The sequence below is a fragment of the Homo sapiens genome, chromosome 6 (genome assembly GCF_000001405.40).
Source record: "Homo sapiens chromosome 6, GRCh38.p14 Primary Assembly".
NCBI lineage: Eukaryota > Metazoa > Chordata > Mammalia > Primates > Hominidae > Homo > Homo sapiens.
This window is the reverse complement of record NC_000006.12, coordinates 164,787,927-164,813,326: the sequence shown is the minus strand read 5'-3', so window position 1 is coordinate 164,813,326 and position 25,400 is coordinate 164,787,927. Positions and strand designations below refer to the sequence as shown.

Sequence of the window (25,400 nt, the reverse complement as noted above, 5' to 3'; positions counted from 1 at the left end):
CTTATTTCCTGTAGACAAAGGACTGAAATTGTGGAAGATCAGACACAAGCTCTTTTCATGCGAGTGGCTGACCATCAATGAAAAGTGCTTTCTCAGTCTCGCCAGGGCATTGGTTGGAAAAGAATGGGACCCTGCAACTTGAAATGGGGGTGTGTGGGAAGACCCTAATGAAGTTGAAGACACTGAGCTTGTAAATTCTAATGAGGCCTTTTTGCCAGAGGAAACAGGAGCTTTTTTGCCCCCACCCCCAGTGGTGGAAACATACCCTCCCCACCCATGCTGCCATCAGCCTTTTCACCTTAGTCTGATAAGATAAACCATGCACTGCTTGAGGCAACAGTGATGGCCTCCTCTGAGGCAGTTGCCAGGTGATTCTCCTCAGGACTCACCCTCAACACACCTATTTGCTTATAGACTAGACTCAAGTCCTGGCAGGTTCCTAGAGGTGAGGTTCAGAGTGTGACTCATGAGGAGGTGTGCTACACTTCAAAAGAACTTCTTGAGTTTTCTAATGTATATAAGCATAAATCTGGAGAACAGGCATAGGAATGGATATTAAGGGTGTGGGATAATGATGGAAGGAACATAAAGTTGGATCAGGCTGAATTTATTGATATGGGCCCACTTAGCATGGACTCTGAATTTAATGTTGCAGGTTGGGGAGTTAAAAAAAAGTTATCATAGTTTATTAGCTTGGTTAGCTGAAATGTGAATAAATAAATGGCCCACTGTGAGTGAGCTAGGAATGTCTAATCTCCCTTGGTTTAATGTAGAGGAAGAGATCCAAAGCTTAGGGAGACTGGGATGGTGATGTGGATTAGTCACTTTAGACCTACTCATCCCAGCTGGGAGGTTCCAGAAGACATATCCATGATCATAACCTTGTGAAATTGATTTTTGATAGGAGCACCTGAGTTTTTGAAGAGCTCTGTGATTGCTCTTCTGTGTATGGCAGATCTTATAGTGGAAACAACAGTTACTCAATTCGAAAATTTAAAAGCAATGGGAATAATTGGATCCCAAGCTGGCAGGGGCCAAGTGGTGGCACTCAATCATCAAGGGCAATGTGGGTGTAGTTACTGTAATGAACAGCATAGATAAAGCAGCAATCAGAATAGTCTGACTCATGCAGAGCTTTAGCATTGGCTAATTAATCATGGTGTTCCTAGAAGTGAAATTGATAGGAAGCCTACTGCATTCTTACTTAATTCGTATAAGCAGAAAACTTCCAGGTCGAGTGGACAAAACACTAATTTAAATTATAAAAATAGAGAATCACGACCCCTCAATCAATTTCCAGACTTGAACCAGTTTACAGACCCAGAAACACTTGAATGAAGTGGAAGTTGGGTCCCCTTGAGGAAGGACTCCACTACACATACCGACAATTTATATTGTTCATCTTTCTCCTATCCTTCCCCAAGGAGACCTCTGGCCTTTTACCAGGGTAACTGTGCGTTGGGGAAAGGGGTATGATAAAAGCTTTCAGGGACTGCTGGACACTGGCTCTGAGCTGACGTTGTTTCCAGGGGAACCAAAACATCATTGTGGTTCTCCAGTTCAGTTAGAGTACGGGCTTATTGAGTAAGGTAATTAATGGAGTTTTAGGACAAGTTCAACATTCACTGGGTCCAGTAGGTCCCCAGTTTCATCCTGTGGTCATTTCCCCAGGGCCAGAATGCATAACTGGCATAGACATACTTAGCAGCTGGCAGAATCGCCACGTTGACTCCCTGACTGGTAGGGCGAGGGCTATTATGGTGGGAAAGGCAAAATAGAAGCCATTAGAGTGACTCTACCTAGAAAAATAGTAAATCAAATAAAATCACATCTCTGAAGGGATTGCAAGGATTAGTACCACCACCAAGGACTTGACAGACGCAGGAGTGGTGATTCCCACCATGTCCCCATTCAATTCTCCTATTTTGCCCGTGAAGAAGACAGTTGGATCTTGGGAAATGACAGTGGATTATCACAAGCTTAACTAAATGGTGACTCCAGTTGCAGCTACTGTATTGGATGTAGTTTTATTGCTTGAACAAATTTACATATCTCCTGGTACCTTGTATGCAGCCATTGATTTGGCAAATGCCTTTTTCTCCATTCCTGTCTATAATGCCTGCCAGAAGCAAGGCCACAATATACCTCTACTGTCCTACCTCAGGGGTATATCAACTCTCTGGCTCTGTGTCATAATCTTGTTTGCAAGGATCTTCATGGCTTTTCACTTTCAAAACACATCACATTGGTCCGTTACAATGATGATATTATGCCAATTTGACCCATTGAGCTAGATGTAGCAAATGCACTGCACTGGACTGAGAAATTTGCATGCCAAGGAATGGGAAATAAATCCAACTAAACTTCAGAGACATTCTACCTCAGTGAAATTTCTAAGGGTCCAGTGGTGTGGGGCCTGTTGAGATATTCCTTCTAAGGTGAAGGATAAGTTGTTGCATTTGGCAACTCCTACAACTAAGAAAGTTGCACAACATCTAGTGGGCCTATTTGGATTTTGAAGGCAACACATTCCTCATTTGGGTGTGTTACTCTGGACTATTTGTTGAATGACCTGAAAGGCTGTCAGTTTTGTGTGGGTCCAGAACAGGAGAAGTCTCTGCAACAGGTCCAGGCTGCTGTGCAAGCTGCTCTGTCACTTGGGCCATATGACCCAGCAAATCTGATGGTGCATCCCTCAGGCAGACAGGGATGCTGTTTGGAGTCTTTGGCAGGCACTTATAGGTGACTCACAGTTGAGACCTCTAGGATTTTGGAGCAAGGCCCTGCCATCTTCTGTATATAACCACTGTCCTTTAGAGAGACCACTCTTGGCCTGTTACTGGGCTTTGGTAGAAACTGAACGCTTGACTATGGGTCATCAAGTCATCATGCGACCTGAACTGACTATCATAAACTGGGTGCTTCCTGACCCATCTAGCCACAAAATTGGGCATGCATAGCAGCATTCCATCATCAAATGGAAGTGGTACATACGTGATCTGGGCTCAAGCAGGTCCTGAAGGCACAAGTAAATTACATGAGGAAGTGGCTCAAATGCCCATGGTTGCCACTCATTCCACCCTGCCTTCTCTCCCCAGCCTGCATTGATGGCCTCATGGGAAGTTCCCTATGATCAGTTGACAGAGGAATAGAAGGGCCTGGTTTACAGATGGTTCTGCGTAATATGCAGGCACCATCCAAAAGTGGAGAGCTGCGGCACTACAGCCCCTCTCTAGGGCATCTCTGAAGGACAGTGGTGAAGGGAAATCTCAGTGGGCACAACTTCTGGCAATACACCTGGTTGTGCACTTTGCTTGAAAAGAGAAATGGCCAGATGTGTGATTATATACTAATCCATGAGCTGTACCCAACGGTTTGGCTGGATCGTCAGGGACTTGGAAGAAGTATAATTGGAAAATTGGTGACATGGAAATTTGGGGAACAGGTAGGTGGATGGACCTCTCTGAGTGGTCAAAAACTGTGAAGATATTTGTATCTCATGTGAATACTTATCAGTGGGTGACCTCAGCAGAGGAGGATTTTAATAATCAAATGGTGACTCACTCTGTGGACACCACTCAGCTTCTTTCCCCAGCCACCCCTGTCATTGCCCAATGGGCCCATGAAAAACATGGTCATGGTGGCAGGAATAGAGGCTATGTATGGGATCAGGAACATGGAGTTTCGCTTACCAAGGCAGACCTGGCTACGGCCACTGCTGAGTGCTTCATTTGCCAGCAGCAGAGACCAAGAGTGAGCCCTTGATATGGTACCATTTCTTGGGGTGATCACTCAGCTACTTGGTGGCAGGTTGATTATTTGACCTCCTCCACCATGGAAAGGGCAGCAGTTGGTCTTCACTGAAATAGACATTTACTCTGGATATGGGTTTCCCTATCCTGCATGCAATGCTTCCGTCAAGACTACTGTTCATGGACTCACAGAATGCCTTATCTATGATCATGGTATTCCACATAACATTGCCTCTTCACGGCTAAAGAAGTGCAGCAGTGGGCTCACGCTCATGGAATTCAATGGTCTTATCATGTTCCCCATTATCCAGAAGCAGCTAGATTGATAGATTGGTGAAATGGTCTTTTAAAGTCACAATTGCAATGCCAACTAGGTAACAATACTTTGCAGGGCTGGGGCAAAGGTCTCCAGGAGGTTGTGTATGCTCTGAATCAGCATGCAATATATGGTGCTTTTTCTCCCATAGTCAGGATTCATGGGTCCAGGAATCAAGGAGTGGAAGTGGAAGTGCCGCCACTCACCATCACCCCTAGTGACCCACTAGCAAAATTTTTGCTTCCTGTTTCCTTGACTTTATGTTCTGTTGGCCTAAAAGTCTTAGTTTCAGAGAGAGGAATGCTGCCACCAGGAGATACAACAATGATTCCATTAAACCAAAAGTTACAATTGCCACCTGGGCACTTTGGGCTCCTCCTACCCCTAAGGGTAGGAGGAATAACTAATAACTGACCACGTGACCAGTTGCAGAAATTAAGACTGTAATTGTCATGAATATAATTTTTCTTTTGTTAAGGATAGGTTTGTGCATGTATACACTTGTACTAGGAAAATATCTTACAGTGTTGGTTAGGGAGATTGACCCAGACTATCAAGATGAAATCAATCTACTATTCCACAATGGAGTAAGGAAGAGTATGTATAAAATACAGGAGATTCCATAGGGCATCTCTTAGTATTACCAGGCCCTGTGATTAAGGTCCATGGGAAACTACAATGGCCCAACCCAGGCAGGACTACAAATGGCCCAGACTCTTCAGGCATGAAGGTTTGGGTCACTCCACCAGAAGTAAAAAAGCATGACCCCCTGAGGTGCTTGCAGAAGGCAAAGGGAATACAGAATGGGTAGCAGAAGAAAGTAGTCATTAAAACCAGCCATGACAATGTGACCAGTTGCAGAAACAAGGACTGTAATTGTCATGAATATATTTTTTATTTTGTTAAGAATAGGTTTGTGCATGTATACACTTCTACTAAAAAAAATCTTAATTTTATCTCATTTCTTTTTCCTTTTCATGTGACATAAGATTTGTTGACTTCATATTAGCATTTAAGTGTTGTTAACTTTATGTGATAGCATTTAGGTTAAGGATTAATGTGCTTCTGGTTGTACAAGGGATAGCTGTATTTTATTAGCCAAATTATCACCTCATTATTGTCTTTATTTGGAGATTATGTATAATTTCAGGAGATGTGTATGAGTTCAAGTTGACAAGGGGTGGACCTTTGATGGTTAATATTGTCAGTTTGATTGAAGGATGCAAAGTAGTGTTCCTGTGTGTGTCTGTGAGGGTGTTGCCAAAGAAGATTAACATTTGAGTCAGTGGACTGGTAGAGGCAGAGTCATCCTCAATGTGGGTGGGCATCATCTAATCAACTGCCAGTGCAGCTAGAATAAAGCAGGCAGAGTAAGATGGGAGAAGTAAACTTGCTAAGTATTCCAGCTTTCATCTTTCTCCCATGCTGGATGGTTCCTGCCCTTGGACATCAGACTCCAAGTTCTTCAGCTTTTGGACTCTTGCACTTACACCAGTGGTTTGCTAGGGGCTCTCAGGCCTTTGGCCACAGACTGAAGGCTGCACTGTTGGCTTCCTTACTTTTGAGGTTTTGGGACTCAGACTGGCTTCATTGCTCTTCAGCTTGCAGAGGCCTATTTTGGGCCTTCACCTTGTAATCATGTGAGTCAATATTCCTTAATAAATTCCCCTTCACATATACATCTATCCTATTAGTTCTGTCCCTCTAGAGAACTCTAATTAAGGGACCAAGGTACAGCTCAAGCCATGGCTTCAGAGGCTGCAAGCCCCAAGTTTTGGTGGCTTCCAGGCATTGTTAGAGTTGTGGGCATACAGAAGAAAACAGTTGAAGTTTGGGAGCCTCCACCTAGATTTCAGAGGATGTATAGAAATGTCTGGATGTCCAGGCAGAAGTTTGCTGCAGGAGTGGAGCCCTCATGGAGAACCCCTGCAAGCGTATTGCAGAAGATAAATATGGGGTTGGAAATGCCATACAGATTTCTCACTGGGGCACTGCCTCGTGGAGCTGTGAGAAGAGGGCCACTAGACAGTGGCCATACCCCAGAAATGTAGATACATTGACAGCTTGCCTCTGGAAATGCTGCAGGCACTAAACATCAGCCCACAAATGTAGCTGCATGGGCTGTATGCTGCAGAGCCACAGGGGCAGGGCTGCTGAAGGCTCTGGGAGCCCACCCTTTGCATCAGCATGCCCTGGATGTGAAACACGGAGTCAAAGGAGATTTAGGAGCTTTAAGATTTAACAACTTCCCATCTGGGTTTAGGACTTGTGTAGGGCCTTTAGCCACTTTGTTTTGGCCAATTTTTCTCAATTGAAATGGAAATATTTACCCAGTGCCTGTACCTTCATTGTTTTTTTAAAGTAACTAACTTGCTTTTGATTTTATAGGCTCATAGGCAGAAGGGACTTGCCTTGTCTCCACTGAGACTTTGGACTTGGAATTTTGGCTTAATGCTGGAATAAGTTAAGACTTTGGGAAGTCATAATTGATTTTGCAATTTGAGAAGGACATGAGATTTTGGAGGGGCCAGTGGCAGAATAATATGGTTTGGCTTTATGTCCTCACCCAAATTTTATCTCCAATTGTAATTTTCATGGATTGAGGGAGGGAGCTGGTGGGACATGAATGGATCATGGGGGCAGTTTCCCCCATGCTGTTCTTATGACAGGAAGTTCTCACAAGATCTGATGGTTTTAAAAGTGTTTGGCACTTCACCCCTCCCCCACTCTGTTTCCTGCTGCCATGTAAGATGTGCCTTGCTTCCCCTTCACCTTCCACCATGATTGTAAGTTTCCTAAGGCCTCTCCAGCCATGTGAAACTGTGAGTCAATTAAACCTCTTTTGTTTATAAATTGTCCAGTCTAAGGTAGTATCTTTATAGCAGTGTAAGAACAGACTAATACAGTTGCTTTATCATATATGTCTGATAAATATCATATCAAAAGAGTTTTACATCTGTTTTTTAAACTGTTTTCCTCTTATTACTATCAGTCATTGTGTCTTGATTCCTTGACGTCTAATTACTTAGCTGCTAATTTTATTTGTGGGGATTGTTTAAGGCACAGGACAAGGTGTCATCAGTTGGGAAACATTTGAATTTGTCTCTGCCTGGTGCCTATTGACATCTTAAATTGGAACCACTTTAAATTCAACGTATGGCCACAGATGTTTTGGACCACTTATATTAAATAAGTAAGTGTTCACAATGCACAAACACAGTCTTGTGGTTGTAAATCTATCCATATTTACATATATATATATACACACACACACAAATATATTTGTATTTGTATGTATGTAGAACAAACATACATACATGTATTTGTTCTCCCCTGGTTTGCCCTGAATAAGGCAACTTCCTTTGTAGTCACCTGGGAAAAGGACTAATGGGAAGAAGTTGTATTAAAATGGGATTATCCATTATCAGGGAACCCAGCTCCATAGGGTCCCACCTTTATTTAGATATCTCCTGTTGGAATTCCCATTCTGATGAGCTTTTTTTTTCTTCTCTCCCCTGTACCTTGCAAGGTCAGTCAAAACTGAAGATCAGCTTTTGATCATGGTAAGTGGAGTGGCTGGGCAAATCATCCCATGGGTAACAATTAGAAATGTGTTGATCTAGAAATGTGTTCTCTCTCTCTCACACATACACAAACACTCTCCCATACACACACACACACACACACACACACACACACGCACACATGCACACACTCCTCACTGAGGGTTAATCACAACAGGAAGGCTTCAATTGACCTGACTCTTTTGTTGAAATAAGTGTTGTCCCTGCACAGCACTGGTGCCTAGTGAAGGCACTAAATGTTCTGATTAATAGTGTGCTTCATCATCATGGGGGCAAGGTGGGGTTGGAGGTAGTTTGTGTAATGGGATCAAGGATTTGCACTGATCCAGGTAAGGTCTCCAGAGGGCTCTGGCAGTGAGGCTGGTTGGATAGCAAGACTATGCCCACATGATGAGCAGGGTGTTCTGGGCTGAACTGTGTTTTCCTCACATTCATTTGTTGAAGTTCTATTTCCTAGTACCTCAGAATGTGACTGTATTTGGATATAGGGCCTTTAAGAGTTAGATAAGTTAAAATGAGGTTAGTAGGATAGTGTCCAACTCAATATGACCTGCATCCTTATACGAATCTCTTCTTATAAGAAGAGGAGATTAGGTCACAGATGTTCAATAAGGAAAGACCATGTGAAGACACAAGAAGATGGTCATCTGCAAGCCAAGAGAAATGTCTCAAAAGGAACTGGCCCTGCTGACATCTTGACCTTGAATTTCCAGCCTCAGGTACTGTGGGAAAATGAATTTCTGTTATTTAAGCCACTCAATCTTTTTTTTTCTTTTTTTTTTTACTGAAGCCTTAAAAACTAATAATATATAGGTTTAAAATGCCCTAGCTGAGACTTGTAGGTATCCAGGTGCATGTCAGTGATTCTGGATTTGAATAAGAGAGTGCATCCATCTATAAGGTCTTTCAGGGGAGGACTCTTAGGGCCCACTCTGAGTGCTGTGGGTCTTGCTTTGTGGGGCAGCCTCTGGCTGCTGTTCATGTCCTTGCTTTAGTGCAGTTGCTATGTTGTATCCTTTTCCTAAAGTAAACTTGTTTCATAGGCACTGTTCTTCGGGGTCCTATAAGTCTGCTTTAGTAATCCAAACCAAACCCTGTCTGACTGAAGCCATTAGTGTCCTATCTATCATCTATCTATCTATGTCATCTATCTATCATCTGTCTATCTATGCCATCTATCTATGTCATCTATTTATCAATCACCTATCATCTCATCTATACATCTCATTTAAAAATATATGATTTTTTTAAAGCATAAAGTGTTTTTGTTTAGTTTAGCTTAGTTCATAATGTCTATGGATATAACATACATGAGAATAAGCACTAAAGATGGGAATGTGAAATAAAAATATATTTCTTTGAAATTTCCTATATTTTACCTGAAGTAATTGAATAATACCTCCAAGATGACTCTAATTTAAAAATTCATATTTTAATTCTTAGAGAAACTACTAAAAATGATTTTTAAAATAGCTAAAAATTCAATACACTAAATAAAATGGAATAATCAAAAAAACTTTTAAAAGAATGACTAAAGGGAAACAAAAAATAAAAAAGAAACAAATGGCAAAATAGCACACCTAAAAACAATCATATCAATAATGATATTATATGCAATAAACTGAATAATCCAATCATATGACAGGAATTATCAGGATAAATTTGGGAAAAGTCAATTGTATTCTGTCCACAAGAGAAGAGTTTACAACACACAAACATAAATGGGTTGAAAATATAATATTAGAAATAATATTTCCTTAAACAATAAACATCAGAAAGGAAGAGAGATTATATTAATAAGATTCAAACTAGATTTCAAGGCAAAGAATGTTACTAGAGAAAAAGAGAGAGAGAGGTCTTATAATGATAAAACTGCCAAAACATAAAGAAGTTATAAATACTGTATTTTGTGTCTAATGAGAGAGCTTTAAAACAGGAAGCCAAAACTGTCAAGATTTAAGGGAGAAACAGACAAATCCACAGCACATTTTGGAGGTATTAATAGACATGGTTGGTGATATTCATGCATGTTTCTTTGTAACTAATTGGACAATTAGAGAAAAAAAATAACTCATTGTAGATCCTAAGGACATTATCAGTCACCTTAACCTAATTGACATTTTTAGAACTGCTCATCCAACAGTTGCAGAATACATCATTTTCAAGTGTCATATTAAACCACATCATATTCTCCAATATTTCCTCTTCTCTGAACTTCACAAATCCTTGTCTCTTTAGCTTTGTATTTTTGTTTCTTCATTTGGCTAGAGCTTTCTCTCAAACAGTGTTCTATGAGGAATGTCTTCATTGAATTTTTACATACTCTAAGGTTAGATTTTTTTCTTTTTCATGATGATAGTTGTATATGCGATCCTTCACTCTGAAGCTCCTATTATAAACATTTTGTTTTCCTGGTACTACCCTACACTATCTTCCAAGTTTCCTTTATGTCCTTCAGAAGTCCCTTTTTTATGCTGTATGCCTCAAAATAGTTTCTTAACTTGATTTTGCAGACCTTGGTTTCAACGGTGACCAAGCTGTTCTCCAGTGCATTTACTGAATTATATAGTAAGAAAATCTTATTTTTTTTGTTTTTTAAATCCCTAGAAAGATATGTTTGTGTGTGTGTGTGTGTGTGTGTGTGTTACACTCAAACTCCTTCAATTTGTGAATGGTCTCTTTCTCTCCTCTCTCTCCCTCTGTCTCTTAGATTTGTGGCCCTTACCTGTGTCTTCTTTGGGGTCAGTGTCCCATTTTTTCTCCCTGGCCTCCCTCTCTCTAGCTGTTTGGATACCCAACCCAACCTAGAGGGTAGGCTGGTTGTGTTGTATACTTGTTTTGTGACTCCGTTCCCTGCCCCTTCCCCCATCACAATTGCACAGAAGCTGAAGAAATGCCCTCTGTTTCCTGCTGAGCGTTGGGAGAAGCTTTTAGCTCTCTGGCTAAAATTTCTGGCACATAGAAGAAGACCCAGCTCCTCCCATCAGCTGATGAGGGTCTTGGCTTTTAATAGAATAGAATAGAATATTAAATTTCTATTCTAATTTAATAGAATAGTTTCATAGCAACTGCACTAAAACAATAGAGCTGATAGAGTCTGTCATGCTCACATCATAGAGGAAGTGACTTTAAGGCCACATCTTTAGGTTCCTTTCGAGTCCTTTCTCTGGATATGATATTGTTTTCCAGTGTTTCTCTAGGAGGATGAATGACCGTAACACGTATCTCGTACTCTCTGCTAGGACCTCCAGGGACCCCAGACATCATGGTCCTAGCGGAGCTTTTTTTCTACCCGACATGCTCCAGTGTCGCATGACTCTTTTACATGCCCAGCCCCTTTGGACACAATGCCATCTTGAAACTGAAGTTAAAATAGATTTGTGAAAAATTTGACACAATGAGGGGCAACCCTCAGCACATATGTTACACAAAATTCTTTAGAATCGTGTAACGCTTCAAAATCTAAAAGTAAAAGGTAAACTTTTATATTATCTTGACCAGAAGTGGGAAGATAAGAATGAAAGAACAGTGAAACTGTTTTAGAAGTTAGCAAAGTCTCATTTCAAATGATGGTGGAGCTGTGAGATGTGGGGAATTGCAGGAGTGACCACGAGATGAGGCAGGGCATTGCATTCTGAAATATAGTGGCAGTTTGCTCAAGAAAAAATTCCAGCACAAATTTGATAAGGTGTCAGGAACAGAACCAGGACCATTAAATCCTGAGCTTAATAAGAGTCATAAGTAACAAAGATATTGAAAGAAAATCAAATATATATTTTTGGTTTAGGATTGAAGAAATAGATTTAAATACTACATAAAAATAATCTAGCATTTAGTATAAATAACTCTAAATGATTGGCAGTTAATCATACTATTCACATAAAATAGAAATAAATATGTACATATATTTCATGTAAGGTGTTGAAATGATCTGAGACAATTTACCTCTCTTAATAAATATTCCAATTAAACTTCTCATCTCAAATATAATAAAAAGTAATGTATTAACAAGAAATTACTTTCTCTTTTATTCAAATTTTAGTTTGTAGCACTGGCTGTTAAAACCTTCTATAGAAAGGTTCTTCTGTAGAAACCTTCTACAGAAATAGCATGCATATAGACTCAGGACAGAAGGAATAAAAGGATACAATATTGCTTTTCTTGTAAGAAAAATTTCTAGGGAAATGCCAAGTTGACATCAATGTAGAAAGAATATAGCAGGTGTAATGCATGTCCATTTAAATACAAGGTATTGATCTCTACTTATCGTCAACTGAAAAGCCCAAGGATTGTTGACATTCTCTCTATTGGCTTTTATTTTCAAAATCTGTTCTAGAAAATAGCAATTTTTCATGACAACCTATTCTATTCATCATGACTAGAAAGGATCAGGCATTTGTCAATACGTATTCTGAGCAGTGTTCTCTTTGTGCAAGGGGCATATTGTGGATGAAAATCAGTCTGCAAAATCAGCTACTTAATACACTAAGTACAATACCACATTTATACCACTTTTATTGAAATCACAAAATGCAAGAAGAAATTTGGCTATTCGCTGTATGCATGTTTAGCCATTTCCTTCATTACATTGTATGCTGGGTTGTACTTTGGGAAGCATGAAATGTAAATGACAATAAAATGCATGCACATAAATTCAGACAACCTTACTTTAATTATAGAAATTTGCTGAATTTTCTCTCGATACAAGTTGTATGAGTCAAAATAGTCTACATTATTCTGTAATAATAAACACTCTCAGTGAAGTAGCCTCAGAAATAGTGTGGTCTCACACAAAGATAGTCCATTTTGTACCTTGTGAATCCTCGGGACAGCTGTCTCACATTCACAAGATGTGTTAGCAGGATATTCTAGGCTGCTTCCGTTGAGTGTTACTGATAGGCACCTCCACATCAGTAAGTGCTTCCATGGTCACTGAATCTTGGGAAGAGTCAGCTGAAGAGGTGAGCACCGGCTCATAGGTGCTTCCACCTGGGAATGGCTATGTCACTTCTTGCTTAAGAAATAGAATCTCAGCTGCCAGGACAAGTCACATGCACTTACCTTCAAGGAGATGAAGGAGTACAAGAATCCCATATGCCCCAGTATAGAGGAGAGCTGGATATTGATGAGCAGTAGTTATCTGCTTTCTTTTATGCTCTTCTGAATTTTTCTGTCTCTCAAGGTCACCAATAACCATGCCCTATCACCTTCAAAACTATAACAAAATAATAGTTAACTTTTTCTCAGGTTTTCCTAAGAGTATAACATTGTGCTAAAAATTTTTGTTATATTATTTTACTTAGTCATTAAGGAAATGTATGAGGCCCATGTATCATCGTCTCCATTATGCAGATGATAACCCTTTCATATCATTTAGTGTGCATGCAATTAGGCTTCAAGTCCACCTTTTTCTGATTTCCAGGCTTAATGTCCATGCCATGTCTCCAATTGTAATTCGCTTCCATTTTCCAATTCTTAGCTGCCTGAGCTATTATAGTTTAAAGGCTAGCATAATAAAGTGCTTAGGAAATGATATTTGAAAGTGAAGAATGGGAAAGAAAGGATTCGAAGCTGACCTATAACCTATTTTTTTCTATCATATGAACACCAAGAGTGAGAATACAAAGAAAAAAATTACTAATAGGTCTTTTTAAAAACATGCTAACATAAATTGTTGATAGCATTTACTAGTATAAGGAAGAGGCATTATTGAAAGAATGCTTTTAGCAGGTTATATCTGGTCAACTTAGATTTTTTATAGTGAACCAAACTGAAATTCATGAATTTCTGGAGCATGACCCACTAAAAATATCAATGACAGTTATATATCTTCGAAGGTAAAACATGGAGATATTTTATGATCAAAATAGTTCCCTTTGTAACATAATATCTTATGTAACAGCATCTAGAGATCTCATGTATCATAATATCTTATGTAACATCATCTAGAGATCTCATGTATTTAATTTGGGCTAGGGAACATTCTGGCGCAGTGAGGTATGAGTGCCAGGTGGTCTCAGACTTCACGCTTCATTGTGTCTCAAAGTTAGTTATGTCTATCCCTTGGTGTACAGGAAGATCTGATACAGGTTAAAATCTCCAATTCTTGTGTGTCTGATTTAACCATCTCATACTTTGTGTATTTTAACATCTAATCAATTTTATTACCTCTCATATTACTAACACTTAAGAAATAGGGTTATTTTCCTGTTTTGGAACTATCTAAAGGTAAAAAGCCAGACTTTTTGGATTTCTAAACAGGGCAAACCAGAAATCTCTGGGCTGCATCCTGGGCAGACCTGGATGCCTGTTGAAGGATCTGGGGAGTTACGAAAACTGAACAATTGAAGTAGTGGAGCGTAGAATATTTTGAGTCAGGGAACTTGCTTATGTTCTGCGTCAAGGCAAAACATCTTTTAAAACATTACTTTTATTTACAATGAGTAGATACGTAAAACTTACCTCACAGAGTTCAGCTCCTTGAAACCTGAACAATTCCCTGTGTTTGCTGTCTGTCCTTTGTTTTGCTATCTGTCTGTCCTGTGTTTTGCTGTCTGTCCTGTGTTTTGCTGTCTGTCTGTCCTGTGTTTTGTTGGCAATGTCTTAACATATGTGCATGATATTGATTCCATTCATGTGATGATCAAAACTGAACAAACAAGTTCCAAAGAACAGGCAGAGCACTATTTATTCCCACAGCCAGGGCAAGGCAAACCTCCCTGGTGACATTTCCTGGGCCACAATGTTGGTGCAGGGCTTTATTTTTTATTTTTTTATTTTTTATTTTTTAATTAATTAATTTTTTTTATTATTATACTTTAAGTTTTAGGGTACATGTGCACATTGTGCAGGTTAGTTACATACGTATACATGTGCCATGCTGGTGTGCTGCACCCACTAACTCGTCATCTAGCATTAGGTATATCTCCCAATGCTATCCCTCCCCCCTCCCCCCACCCCACCACAGTCCCCAGAGTGTGATGTTCCCCTTCCTGTGTCCATGTGATCTCATTGTTCAAGTCCCACCTATGAGTGAGAATATGTGGTGTTTGGTTTTTTGTTCTTGCGATAGTTTACTGAGAATGATGATTTCCAATTTCATCCATGTCCCTACAAAGGACATGAACTCATCCTTTTTTATGGCTGCATAGTATTCCATGGTGTATATGTGCCACATTTTCTTAATCCAGTCTATCATTGTTGGACATTTGGGTTGGTTCCAAGTCTTTGCTATTGTGAATAATGCCGCAATAAACATACGTGTGCATGTGTCTTTATAGCAGCATGATTTATAGTCCTTTGGGTATATAACCAGTAATGGGATGGCTGGGTCAAATGGTATTTCTAGTTCTAGATCCCTGAGGAATCACCACACTGACTTCCACAATGGTTGAACTAGTTTACAGTCCCACCAACAGTGTAAAAGTGTTCCTATTTCTCCACATCCTCTCCAGCACCTGTTGTTTCCTGACTTTTTAATGATTGCCATTCTAACTGGTGTGAGATGGTATCTCATTGTGGTTTTGATTTGCATTTCTCTGATGGCCAGTGATGGTGAGCATTTTTTCATGTGTTTTTTGGCTGCATAAATGTCTTCTTTTGAGAAGTGTCTGTTCATGTCCTTCGCCCACTTTTTGATGGGGTTGTTTGTTTTTTTCTTGTAAATTTGTTGGAGTTCATTGTAGATTCCGGATATTAGCCCTTTGTCAGATGAGTAGGTTGCAAAAATTTTCTCCCATTTTGTAGGTTGCCTGTTCACTCTGATGGTAGTTTCTTTTGCTGTGCAGAAGCTCTTTAGTTTAATTAGATCCCATTTGTCAATTTTGTCTTTTGTTGCCATTGCTTTTGGTGTTTTAGACATGAAGTCCTTGCCCATGCCTGTGTCCTGAATGGTAATGCCTAGGTTTTCTTCTAGGGTTTTTATGGTTTTAGGTCTAACGTTTAAGTCTTTATTCCATCTTGAATTGATTTTTGTATAAGGTGTAAGGAAGGGATCCAGTTTCAGCTTTCTACACATGGCTAGCCAGTTTTCCCAGCACCATTTATTAAATAGGGAATCCTTTCCCCACTGCTTGTGTGCAGGGCTTTATCTGGCAGCTCTGGAACTCGCAGGTGCCTCTTTGCACTGTGCGCTGGCCCTGCACACTTGGCTATTTACTGTCCCTGGAACACTCTGCAGACCATGCTCTGGGCTTCAAGATCACATCCCCCACCCTCTCCTGATCTCTTACACATGTTCTTTTCAGCTCTTCTTCATTCCTCGTTCTCTCTGAAGCCTGATAGACAAAAGATACAAGAGTTTTATGGTTCTTAGCAACACTTTGAAAAGTCTGTTTACCAATCCCTGCGGATAAAGAGACGCAATTCTTAAAACTGAGATGCCTGATTTCCTGTCTTTGTAAGGAAGGGCACTTCTTTCTCTACCCCATCCCAAAGGCTGTGTGCTAGAAAAAAGAGAATAAATCCAAATTTAATTACTGGCTTTTATTTCTATTACTGATGTCTTTGAGACATACCATTTCTACACTTAAAAAAAACAGTCTTTTATTTCTTGAAATGATTGTGAACTCTGAGCAGACAGAGGCACTGTTTTACATGATGTCATTTTCCATAAAGAGCTGCATCTGGGACCTGAATGTAGTAACTTGTCTTTATGAATTCCTATAAAGGTACAGAGCAAACTTCCTTTAGTTGAATAACAATGCACCACACTTCATAATAACCTTGAATATATCATAAAGCCTGCCTAGAAGGAAACTCTAAATGGTCAAATAGTTTGGGGAGGATGCATAGTTATAGTTATAATTTAGTTATAGTTATAATACCTAATAGCACATTAAAGCCTTGAGAGGGATTGAGTGAAAAAACGTTTTCCTGTTTTTACTTACTGTATCCTACAATTCTTTCAATATGGACCACTTTTTGTTACATCGGTGACTGGTGAGTTCTTTCTTAAAGGGCCAGAAAATAAATGTTTTAGGTTTTGCTGTCAAACAAAAATACCAAAAGCAGAAGGGATTGTGTAGGTACTAAAATAACCATTTAAAATAAACCCTTTGAAAAGATGAAAACTATTATTATGTGCTTGTGGGCCATAGGAAAAGAAGGAACCAGTCAAGTTGGGCTCACAGGACATAGTTCACTATTCTTTGGAGTAGAAAACACTCACTGGCATATTGGAGTAGAGTTTTTGGAGTGTGCACCATGGGATAGTTGCTAAGTACACCTTCAGTCATGAAACCTTGGATTTAAGTCAAAAATTGCTCAAGTGTTTGGAAAATTCTTGCACAAAAAGTTGATTTTAATTTTAAGATTGTTCATTCTCCTGATACTTGAGGAAAGAAATTCTCTACTTTCTTAAAATTACATATTGTTCATCCAATTATAAAAGGATTACATGCAAAAGAATACAAAAAGAAAACAGTCCCACATCTCAGAGATAAACATCCTTAATGCGGTATATATTTTTAAGCTTTTAAATTCGTATTTTAAATGCCAATGCAGAATCTTTTGGCAGTACATGATCCATGTACTTGCAGGTTTTGATGATTGGAATAAACTCTGAAGAACGATTTATGTATAGGTTAGAGAGGGGCTGTAAGTTGTTAGCTCAAGTATAGTGGGGCTGCTGTAGGGGATGCCAGTGACTGATTTTCCATTTTGATGAATTTTTTTCACCAGTTTTAATTTTTTTTCTCTAAATTTCTGTTAATCAAATGAGATGTGAACTGGAACAACCATTAAGCAGACAGCAGTGATCAAGGTGAAATCTCTTTTTATATAGAACTGATGAAATTCACTCCTTGCACTACATCCTCTGAACTGACATGTGCTATCAGCTCAAGGTTGCCTCCGGTCAAGAAATTGACTACCTGTTTAGGACACATGCTTTAATTATTAGGGAGCAGCTTCTTCTACCTGATTTGCAACACATTTTCTTTATAATGAGCTAAAACCAAATGCAACAAATACTAGAGTTCACTGTCATAGCTGCATGTTGCCAAACTCTTCTGCATTTCAAGGCGTTTTGCGTTTTGTCAAATGCGTTCTGCCTCCTCATGGCCTCTCAGCTGCTAGTTCACTGTGAGATTCTGCACTTTGCCACAAGTGTCTTCTGAAGGTTTTTACTGAGACATTATGCAAGTTGCAAATATATGTTGTGTTTTTAAGATTCAAAACTTATGTGCATGTCAGTAATTATTAATGATTATTGTAATGATTAATTACAATGAGGACTGCTTCTTGGCCGTTTGATGGAACAGGGTCGACTGGTGAGTTTTACATCCATGGGTCTAAAAATGGACTGTTGGAAAGCTCTCTAAATAAATTTCCCTGCATGTTCAAAAACGAGGGAATAGTGCCAGGGAAAGAGAGACCAAATCCTGCCAACAAGCTAAAACAGACAAGGCTGCCAACAATATATTAAGCACAAATAACAAAGAAATATGGTGTGGATGGCTCTGTCCTGCCAGCTTTATGCGGTCCCCAAATTTTTTTCAAATACTAATGTTGGCAGAGGGGGAAAAACACATAGAGCATATTGAAAAGACCTGATTCTCCAGGCCACGTTTCAGGAAAGCAAAGTGAAGGTTAAGCATCTGTCACGGAAAATAGTTCAGAAAACGAATGCCAGTTAAAAGAAAGGGATGATAGAAAGAAAAAAGAATAGTCAGGGAAATACTGAGGCAGCAAGCAGGGGACCCTTCATTACTCACTGCTTGTTACCACATTTCCTAGCACGGACAGTTTACATTCAGCTTCTCCGTTGAGAGGGTGGGGTATATGGAAGCTTTAGTTTTTGAACTTGAAGAAACAGGATGCTGGCTACGTCCAAGGGAAAATGCCTCCGAGTGATGCCTGTGATTGGCTGGTGACAGGCTCTGTGAGGGGCTCCATTACCAGGCCACTCAGACATTGCTCGAGTGCTTGCTGATAGGTAGATCTTGACCAAGCCACATTTTCCAGGCTCTTTAGTTCATTTTCAGCCTTCCTGTGGAGTTCACATTGAAGGATAATGACACGGCATTTCTGTCACAAAAAGTGACTGAGCAGCTGGGAGAAAAAAAAAGAGTCTTATTTACTTTTTAAAAGAAGATGGGCTGATGACTTAAGATTGTAGCCATTTGTAATTTCTCCATGTGTCCTTTGAATAGTGACAATGGCATGGAAACATTAACTTCCATTTAGATGGCCAGTAATGGGCCACCAGGTTGGGATCATCTTGCGGGGACCAGATGCACACCATGCGTGTCGTATGGTGAGATTCTTAGGACTTAGGTCCTGGTTTCTGTGTCTAGACTCAACATAGCTAGTAATTTGATGACCGGATGAATATTGGCAGGGAAGACTTACCACTGCACAGGGAAAAATCTAAATTGTTAGCTTAGGTAGAAGATGGTTAAAACTTTCTGTATCATCCATTATTTACCTGTGTAATTCGTAACTAATTTTTAAGTTGTTTTTCTTTCAATGTCCCTGAACTAATGTTTGATGTGTTTTTCTGTTGTTGTTCTTATGTCAAGGTTCTTGGATGCTTGATGGAATTAAGGATTTGAGAACATGAGAACAAACAGGAATATGCAGGAAATCTTGAGGACACAGGAGATGAAGTCAACCTGTGGCCAAGGGAGAGGGAGGGACATGAGAAGCTTTGTGAAAGATGTCAGCGCAAACCTCAGGCAAGTGCCACCCAACCTAGAGCTGTGGATTGAAGTTTGGCGTTGGGGTGTCAGCCTGTGATTTCCTGATCTCCAACTCCACTCCTCTTAAGTCACCCAGCCTAAGGCACTGAACCTCATCATCAGAACCTCAGAGTCCAACATCTTGACCATAGCCTTGCAACCCCACTGTTAGGTGAGTTTCAAGTTCTCACTCCCCATAAACTTCTTCAGACCACTGCTCCCTCGAATGACTTTGTTTCCTCCCAGGTCATCAGTTTCCTTAGTCAATTTCCAAGTCCTATCAGTTGTAGACACTACGATTGGTCATCCCATCTGAGTGACTATTTCACTTAAACTTGCCTTTCCTCCTCTGTTTGCAATAACTCTCATACATAGCTCTAGCTTAACATCCACGTTGCCTTCTCTATTCTTACCTCCAGGACAGCAGAACACTAAACATTAAGTTCTTCAATGCTAAAAAACATCCTGTAATCACGAAAATCAGCCCAGTACAAATTCATGCTCACTACACGTGGTTCTCAGCTGCTGTGGGGCCTCTCTCTTCCCTTCAGTATCCACAGACTTGCAACGTTCTTCTCAGCCTTCCTTCGCACCACTAAATTATCTCATTAAGTCAGGACCATCTGGTGGGAACTCCTTTAACTTCCCAGGGCCCAGGAAAAATAAACCATATTTACCCATGCCTCCCTCTTTCTCCATGTGCCTTTTCAAGAAGAGAGGCTCTTCTCCCAGTGTCTCTCTCCCTGATTCCATATCACCCTCTCTTCTTTGGGATACTTCTCCAAAGAGTGTGGTCTTTCAGGTATCCTTACTGTCTTATGACTGAGTCATTCCACTTGGCTTATGAACCTCTTTGTTGCTTATTCCAGGCACTCTGAGTCTCCCCTGCATTCAGTCTCCCTTCAGCATACAACACTGTTCATGATGCTTTTTGTAAAGCCCTCTGCTTCCCCATCCTCCTTAGATCTTCTGCTACTACTCTGGCCAGTTTTTTCTCTGTCTGCTGCTTCTCCTTCCCTTGACCTATTACTTCCTTCCTCCTCCTGAAGAAATCTGATCTGCAGCTCCTCTTCTGTTTTCATCAGTGTGCTCACTCTTGATGCTGCTGCTCCTGCAGCTACTGCCAAGTCTCACTTGATAGACAGTACCCACTCCATATGGGGCAAGAATAAAAATCACCAAAAATAGACAGTTATAAACAAATGTCCCTGCCCATAAGATTTATGTAATCGTACTTTATCCATGTGTTATATTGCTAAGGACATGGTGACTGTGACAGATGTAACATAATAGATGCAATTGACATATACAGTATTTCTTATAGCTAAACTACAGCTAAGTTATTATATTTGAAAAATAATATATGAGACACATCAATAATTGGTTTCATTGTTAAAAATATACACACAAAGCATCTTAAAATAATGTAACTATAACAACCTGATAACTATAATAAATATAAACAAAAATTGTAATATAAGGTTGTGCTTAATTTTTTTTTTTTTTTTTTTTTTTTTTTTTTTGAGACGGAGTCTCGCTCTGTCGCCCAGTTCCGGACTGCGGACTGCAGTGGCGCACTGCAAGCTCTCGGCTCACTGCAAGCTCTGCTTCCTGGGTTCACGCCATTCTCCTGCCTCAGCCTCCCGAGTAGCTGGGACTACAGGCGCCTGCCACCGCGCCCGGCTAATTTTTTGTATTTTTTTTAGTAGAGACGGGGTTTCACCTTGTTAGCCAGGATGGTCTCGATCTCCTGACCTCGTGATCCACCCGCCTTGGCCTCCCAAAGTGCTGGGATTACAGGCGTGAGCCACCGCACCCAGCCGGTTGTGCTTAATTTTTGAAATTTAAAGGATATCTTAAGATTTTAGTTAAATAACATCACAAATATATGCAAGATAATTTCAAATACTGCTCTCTTTTTCTTTTGAACGTGTTATAACAAAAAACTATACAATATTATTTACTTGAGAATATAAAGGTTGCTTGCAAATTAACTACTCAATGAGACCTCAAGAATACTTGAACAGGTAATTTGTAGAAAAAGAAATAAGGCTAGCCATGAATATAAAAAGATTTTCTATCACAGAGAAAATGGAGAATGTGCCAACTTAAAACTATGAGATTGTTTGTTAGTATGTTAGTGTGGGAGCATGCTTTAGCAGCACTGGGCAAAGCAGCATATATGGTGTGGTGATGCACCAAATAAATCTGGCCCTGCTGATTCTTTTAAAAATATATTTTCTAAGAAAAATATAAATAATATGTACAAAAATGCTTATAGCAAAGATGCTTACCACAGCATTATTTTAAATAATGCTTTAATTATTTATAAAATTTAAAAACTACCAAATATTCCTTTGACCTTAGAACTTCATCAAAATCTAGTATGTTCTCAATACACCATTTTTACTAATGAATTAGTTATTGCATGTAAAGCACCTGCCTAGCATAGACAATGAAATGTAGCATATATAATAATAGTCATCATAATACTTAAAGTAAAACCATAGTCAATATTTTTTCTTATAAATTTAGTGTACTTCACGCAAGTGTTCGAAAAAAGAATGAGTACGTTTATAAAGGAGACTTGTATACTATCAAAACTATTTAATGTTGTTGGATATTTTTCTCAATCAAAATTATAACTGCAGCCACTCATAATATTACACACATATAATGCTTTCATCTTCTCTTTTATTGGCTATCAGAATACTCCACAATTCACTGAAAAAAGTCCTACAACAATTATCAACTTATTCATTTTGACCTTAAGTTGTTGCTTTTGAAGTGCTGTATAGAATTACTAAGGTAGGCAGAAGCAGTGTCTTCATGGATCATATATGTTGTGTTTTTTTGTATTTAACTATTTACAAAATGTATAGATATAATCAATAAATGTAACATCTTAATCAAGAAGAATAATAAGAATAAATTAAGAATAAACTATAAATAATCAGTAGGAATAAACTATAAATATAAATATTTTAATAAATATATACATTAATAAATGTTCAAATGAGTGAAATTAAACATGTGCCAGACCCTTAAATAGGATTATAGAAAAATAGGAAAATGATAAATATTTAATATACATATACTTAAAGATATAATCATGAATAATGAATAAATTTTTTTAAGTTGTATTTTTATCATGTAAAAATGTGAAATAGATACATAAAGCATTAATGCAGTGAAATACTATTTGATATAATACATCAGTTGATGAGAAAGTGCTAACATAAAGTTTGTAAGATTATAGCCAAAATGCTCATATATCTTTACCATGATTGACAGTTTCCCAAATGAAGAAACCAAGAATATACTTATATACCTATTAAGTTTTGGGCTGTATGTTTTACACACACACACACACACACACACATGCACACTTCTCATGAAATCTCTTAGGTTTTTGTTATTTGGCCCAGAAAACTAGGCTTAGATTTATGAACGGAAGGAAAATCATACACCAAGTGGAAAAGTTAATATGAAAATCTAGTTATAACATTGCACATTTGTGCATTATTTCAAAATTGTGCTGAGAATACAGAAGGCACTCAATATTTGTTGAGAGTATGAATAAATGAATGCTAATTTTAGTTTGCTCTTATTTGCCTCATTGGAGTTGTTGGAAATCCATTTATTTCCTTCAGGTCCTGGGGAGCCTGAGGAACAAAGGTATTAAGGGTATGACTGAATGTTACGTGTTTCATTTCTCATTTCTTTGTTTGGCCCAGAGAAACTGAAAGACTAAATATAAATATCCCCAATTTACATGTTCTTTGGTTCCTAAAGATACAATAATGACTCTTCCTTATGAATCATGATTTGGATTATTAATAGAGTACTGATACCTCCCTCCAAAGCAACAAAAAAAAGTCACTCAGAGATGACATGGTCTTCCAGAAATAATTTTAAAGATTTAAATAAAATTAGTTCTAAGATTGCGTAAATATCTAAGTGTTGGAGTAAATGAAAAACAGATAACACATCAATGATACTTTCAGTCTTAATTTTCAGGGAAAAAATCCAATATTAGGAAAATGTGGAACTCAGTGCCTATCACCTAAGCTCAACTTACTTTTTGAAAAGTTTATAACATTTTCTCAAATTGACTAAAAGGTAATATTAGGACCACAAGATGAGGACAAATATCCAGAAAATATGGCGTGAAAAATATTATAAATTTTCTTTCTTCTTACTTTGACCCAAGATCTAAAGCACCAGCCATAAACCATTTGAAAGACCTTTGGTTCTTAAAGCTGTTACTTCACAGCCATATAACCAAGTGTTGGTTCTGTGCACTTGGTTTGTTGATTTAAGTCACCCATATAGAATACTGAGTAGAAACATACCAGTCTATGATAGACTAAGTTGATTGTTTTTGCTGGCAGATGTGAGAGAGCATCATTGCTCATTATATGGTTGGCTTAATTGGTTTTTCTCCTGGAATACGTGGATGGCGTTCTTTTAATCTGTTACACAGAGTACTTAAAATCAAAGCCTCTGAATTATTGTTTAATTGTTAGTATATTTTAGATCATGGTTACATTCTGGGATTGGTTTATGCTAAAACACTTGTTTGTCCTTTACACAGGGATTAACATGGGGCCGAAAAAGGTCATTTCTGTTGTTTTCAAGCATTAGCCACTTGTTATTAGTAAAATGTTGAAGTGAGAGTTCACTGATTTTAAAAACCAAATACTGTAATAGGACACAGAATTTAATAAGAATATTATCTCTTTGGAGCATGATTTTTGTTGTCATGTTATATACAGTAGAAAGGTCAAATGATGGATGTGACTATTACAAATAGCAGTGATTTATGATGGGGTATCTGCAAAATAGGCTTTGCTTTGAGAAAAAAAATCAAAATCTGTGTTTTAAAGTAGCATTAATATTTTTGTTCTGTAACTAGAAAATGAATAAACAATGTTTGTTTGCGAAGGACTTTGGAGATTTTTGTGATTATGGTTTAAATCGCAAGAAAAAAATCTAGGCTAGAGAAGAACACTTTAAAATTGTGTTTTAAAATCGCATTTGGAAAACAGCCTCTCTTTAGTTTTCATTAAAAGATGGATAAAGACAATACAACAAAATAGGAACTCAGAAGAACCCTAAACATAGACCAACAGATAACCTATACTCAGAACCTAGGAGGACAGCCTTTCCTCTAAGTTGAATAAAACTGGGCTACCTTGTAACCTGTCTCTAAACAATATCACATTCAAAAGAAAACCAGTATGATACGAACAAAAGAATCAAACAGCAACTTAAATGTTAACTGCAGCTTTACCAAGGGCCTCTCAATAAAATAGCAACTTATGACTCACAGAAAAATGACCTACAATCACCTTTATTCACCTGAATGTCCCTGAATCTTCACAGAAATAGTTCATGTCTCTCCTATATTTCCCTCATCCTCAGAAAACCTGCGGTTCACACAGCCCATGCAAACCTGGGCTCTCATTCTGTGGACTATCTGACCGTCATTAGATTTAAATATAAATTAATTTAGTCTCTCTTGGTTGTTTAAATGTTGCCCTATATTCAATAGTCCACATTCAAACAAGGACTAGGAATGAAACAAATACACATAATTGAATTTATAAAAGGCAGGGGAAGGTACACTTCTGTTCTTGTCTCATTCCAGTGAGCATAATTGATTGAGATTCTTACCAACCAATGCTCTACCCAAGTGTAACCTCACGAAACAGATAAACTTGGCTCACCTGCAAGAAGGAGAAAATAGAAACAAGTAAAATATAATATGCTCTAAAATCTGATCAGTGAAGACTTCTTTTCTGCTTTTACAATTTTACTCATGCAAAATAATGAAGCACTTATTTGTAGTATTCTACCCATACCCAATAGATTACCTGCCATTGCCAAATGCAATATAGCCTTAAAGTATTAATTTTGTGTACCTTTCTTATAGGTTGTCCTACTTGCTAGCCATTCATTATAGCAATGCCCCTATTTCAAACATGTCTAGAAGAACAGCATTAGTGGGGAGGAGCCAAGATGGCCGAATAGGAACAGCTCCAGTCTACAGCTCCCAGCGTGA

At 38.6% G+C, this 25,400-nt stretch overlaps 1 long non-coding RNA gene across 1 annotated transcript in view, besides 2 other annotated features; it reads left to right on the top strand.

Annotated features, from left to right (window-relative positions):
- Positions 1-19,950, top strand: part of MEAT6 (melanoma-associated transcript 6) — a 28,687-nt gene extending 8,737 nt beyond the window's left edge. The window contains exons 2-4 of the long non-coding RNA NR_131926.1: positions 7,598-7,631; positions 8,237-8,371; positions 19,175-19,950. This is a non-coding gene — a long non-coding RNA (melanoma-associated transcript 6). The remainder of the gene's footprint in view (positions 1-7,597; positions 7,632-8,236; positions 8,372-19,174) is intronic.
- Positions 16,858-17,027: an enhancer, noted in NCBI's record as "experimental_91179 CRE fragment used in MPRA reporter constructs". NCBI's record gives its function as "activates a minimal promoter by MPRAs in K562 erythroleukemia cells, with activity observed for the non-introgressed 6:165209874 or rs77895845 variant allele {active_cell/tissue: K562}" and the evidence as "EXISTENCE:reporter gene assay evidence [ECO:0000049][PMID:34662402]".
- Position 16,942: a transcriptional cis regulatory region, noted in NCBI's record as "Neanderthal adaptively introgressed variant 6:165209874 (GRCh37/hg19 assembly coordinates) or rs77895845 in the experimental_91179 CRE". NCBI's record gives its function as "modulates activity of the experimental_91179 enhancer by MPRAs in K562 erythroleukemia cells {active_cell/tissue: K562}" and the evidence as "EXISTENCE:reporter gene assay evidence [ECO:0000049][PMID:34662402]".
- Positions 19,951-25,400: the final 5,450 nt, after the last annotated feature.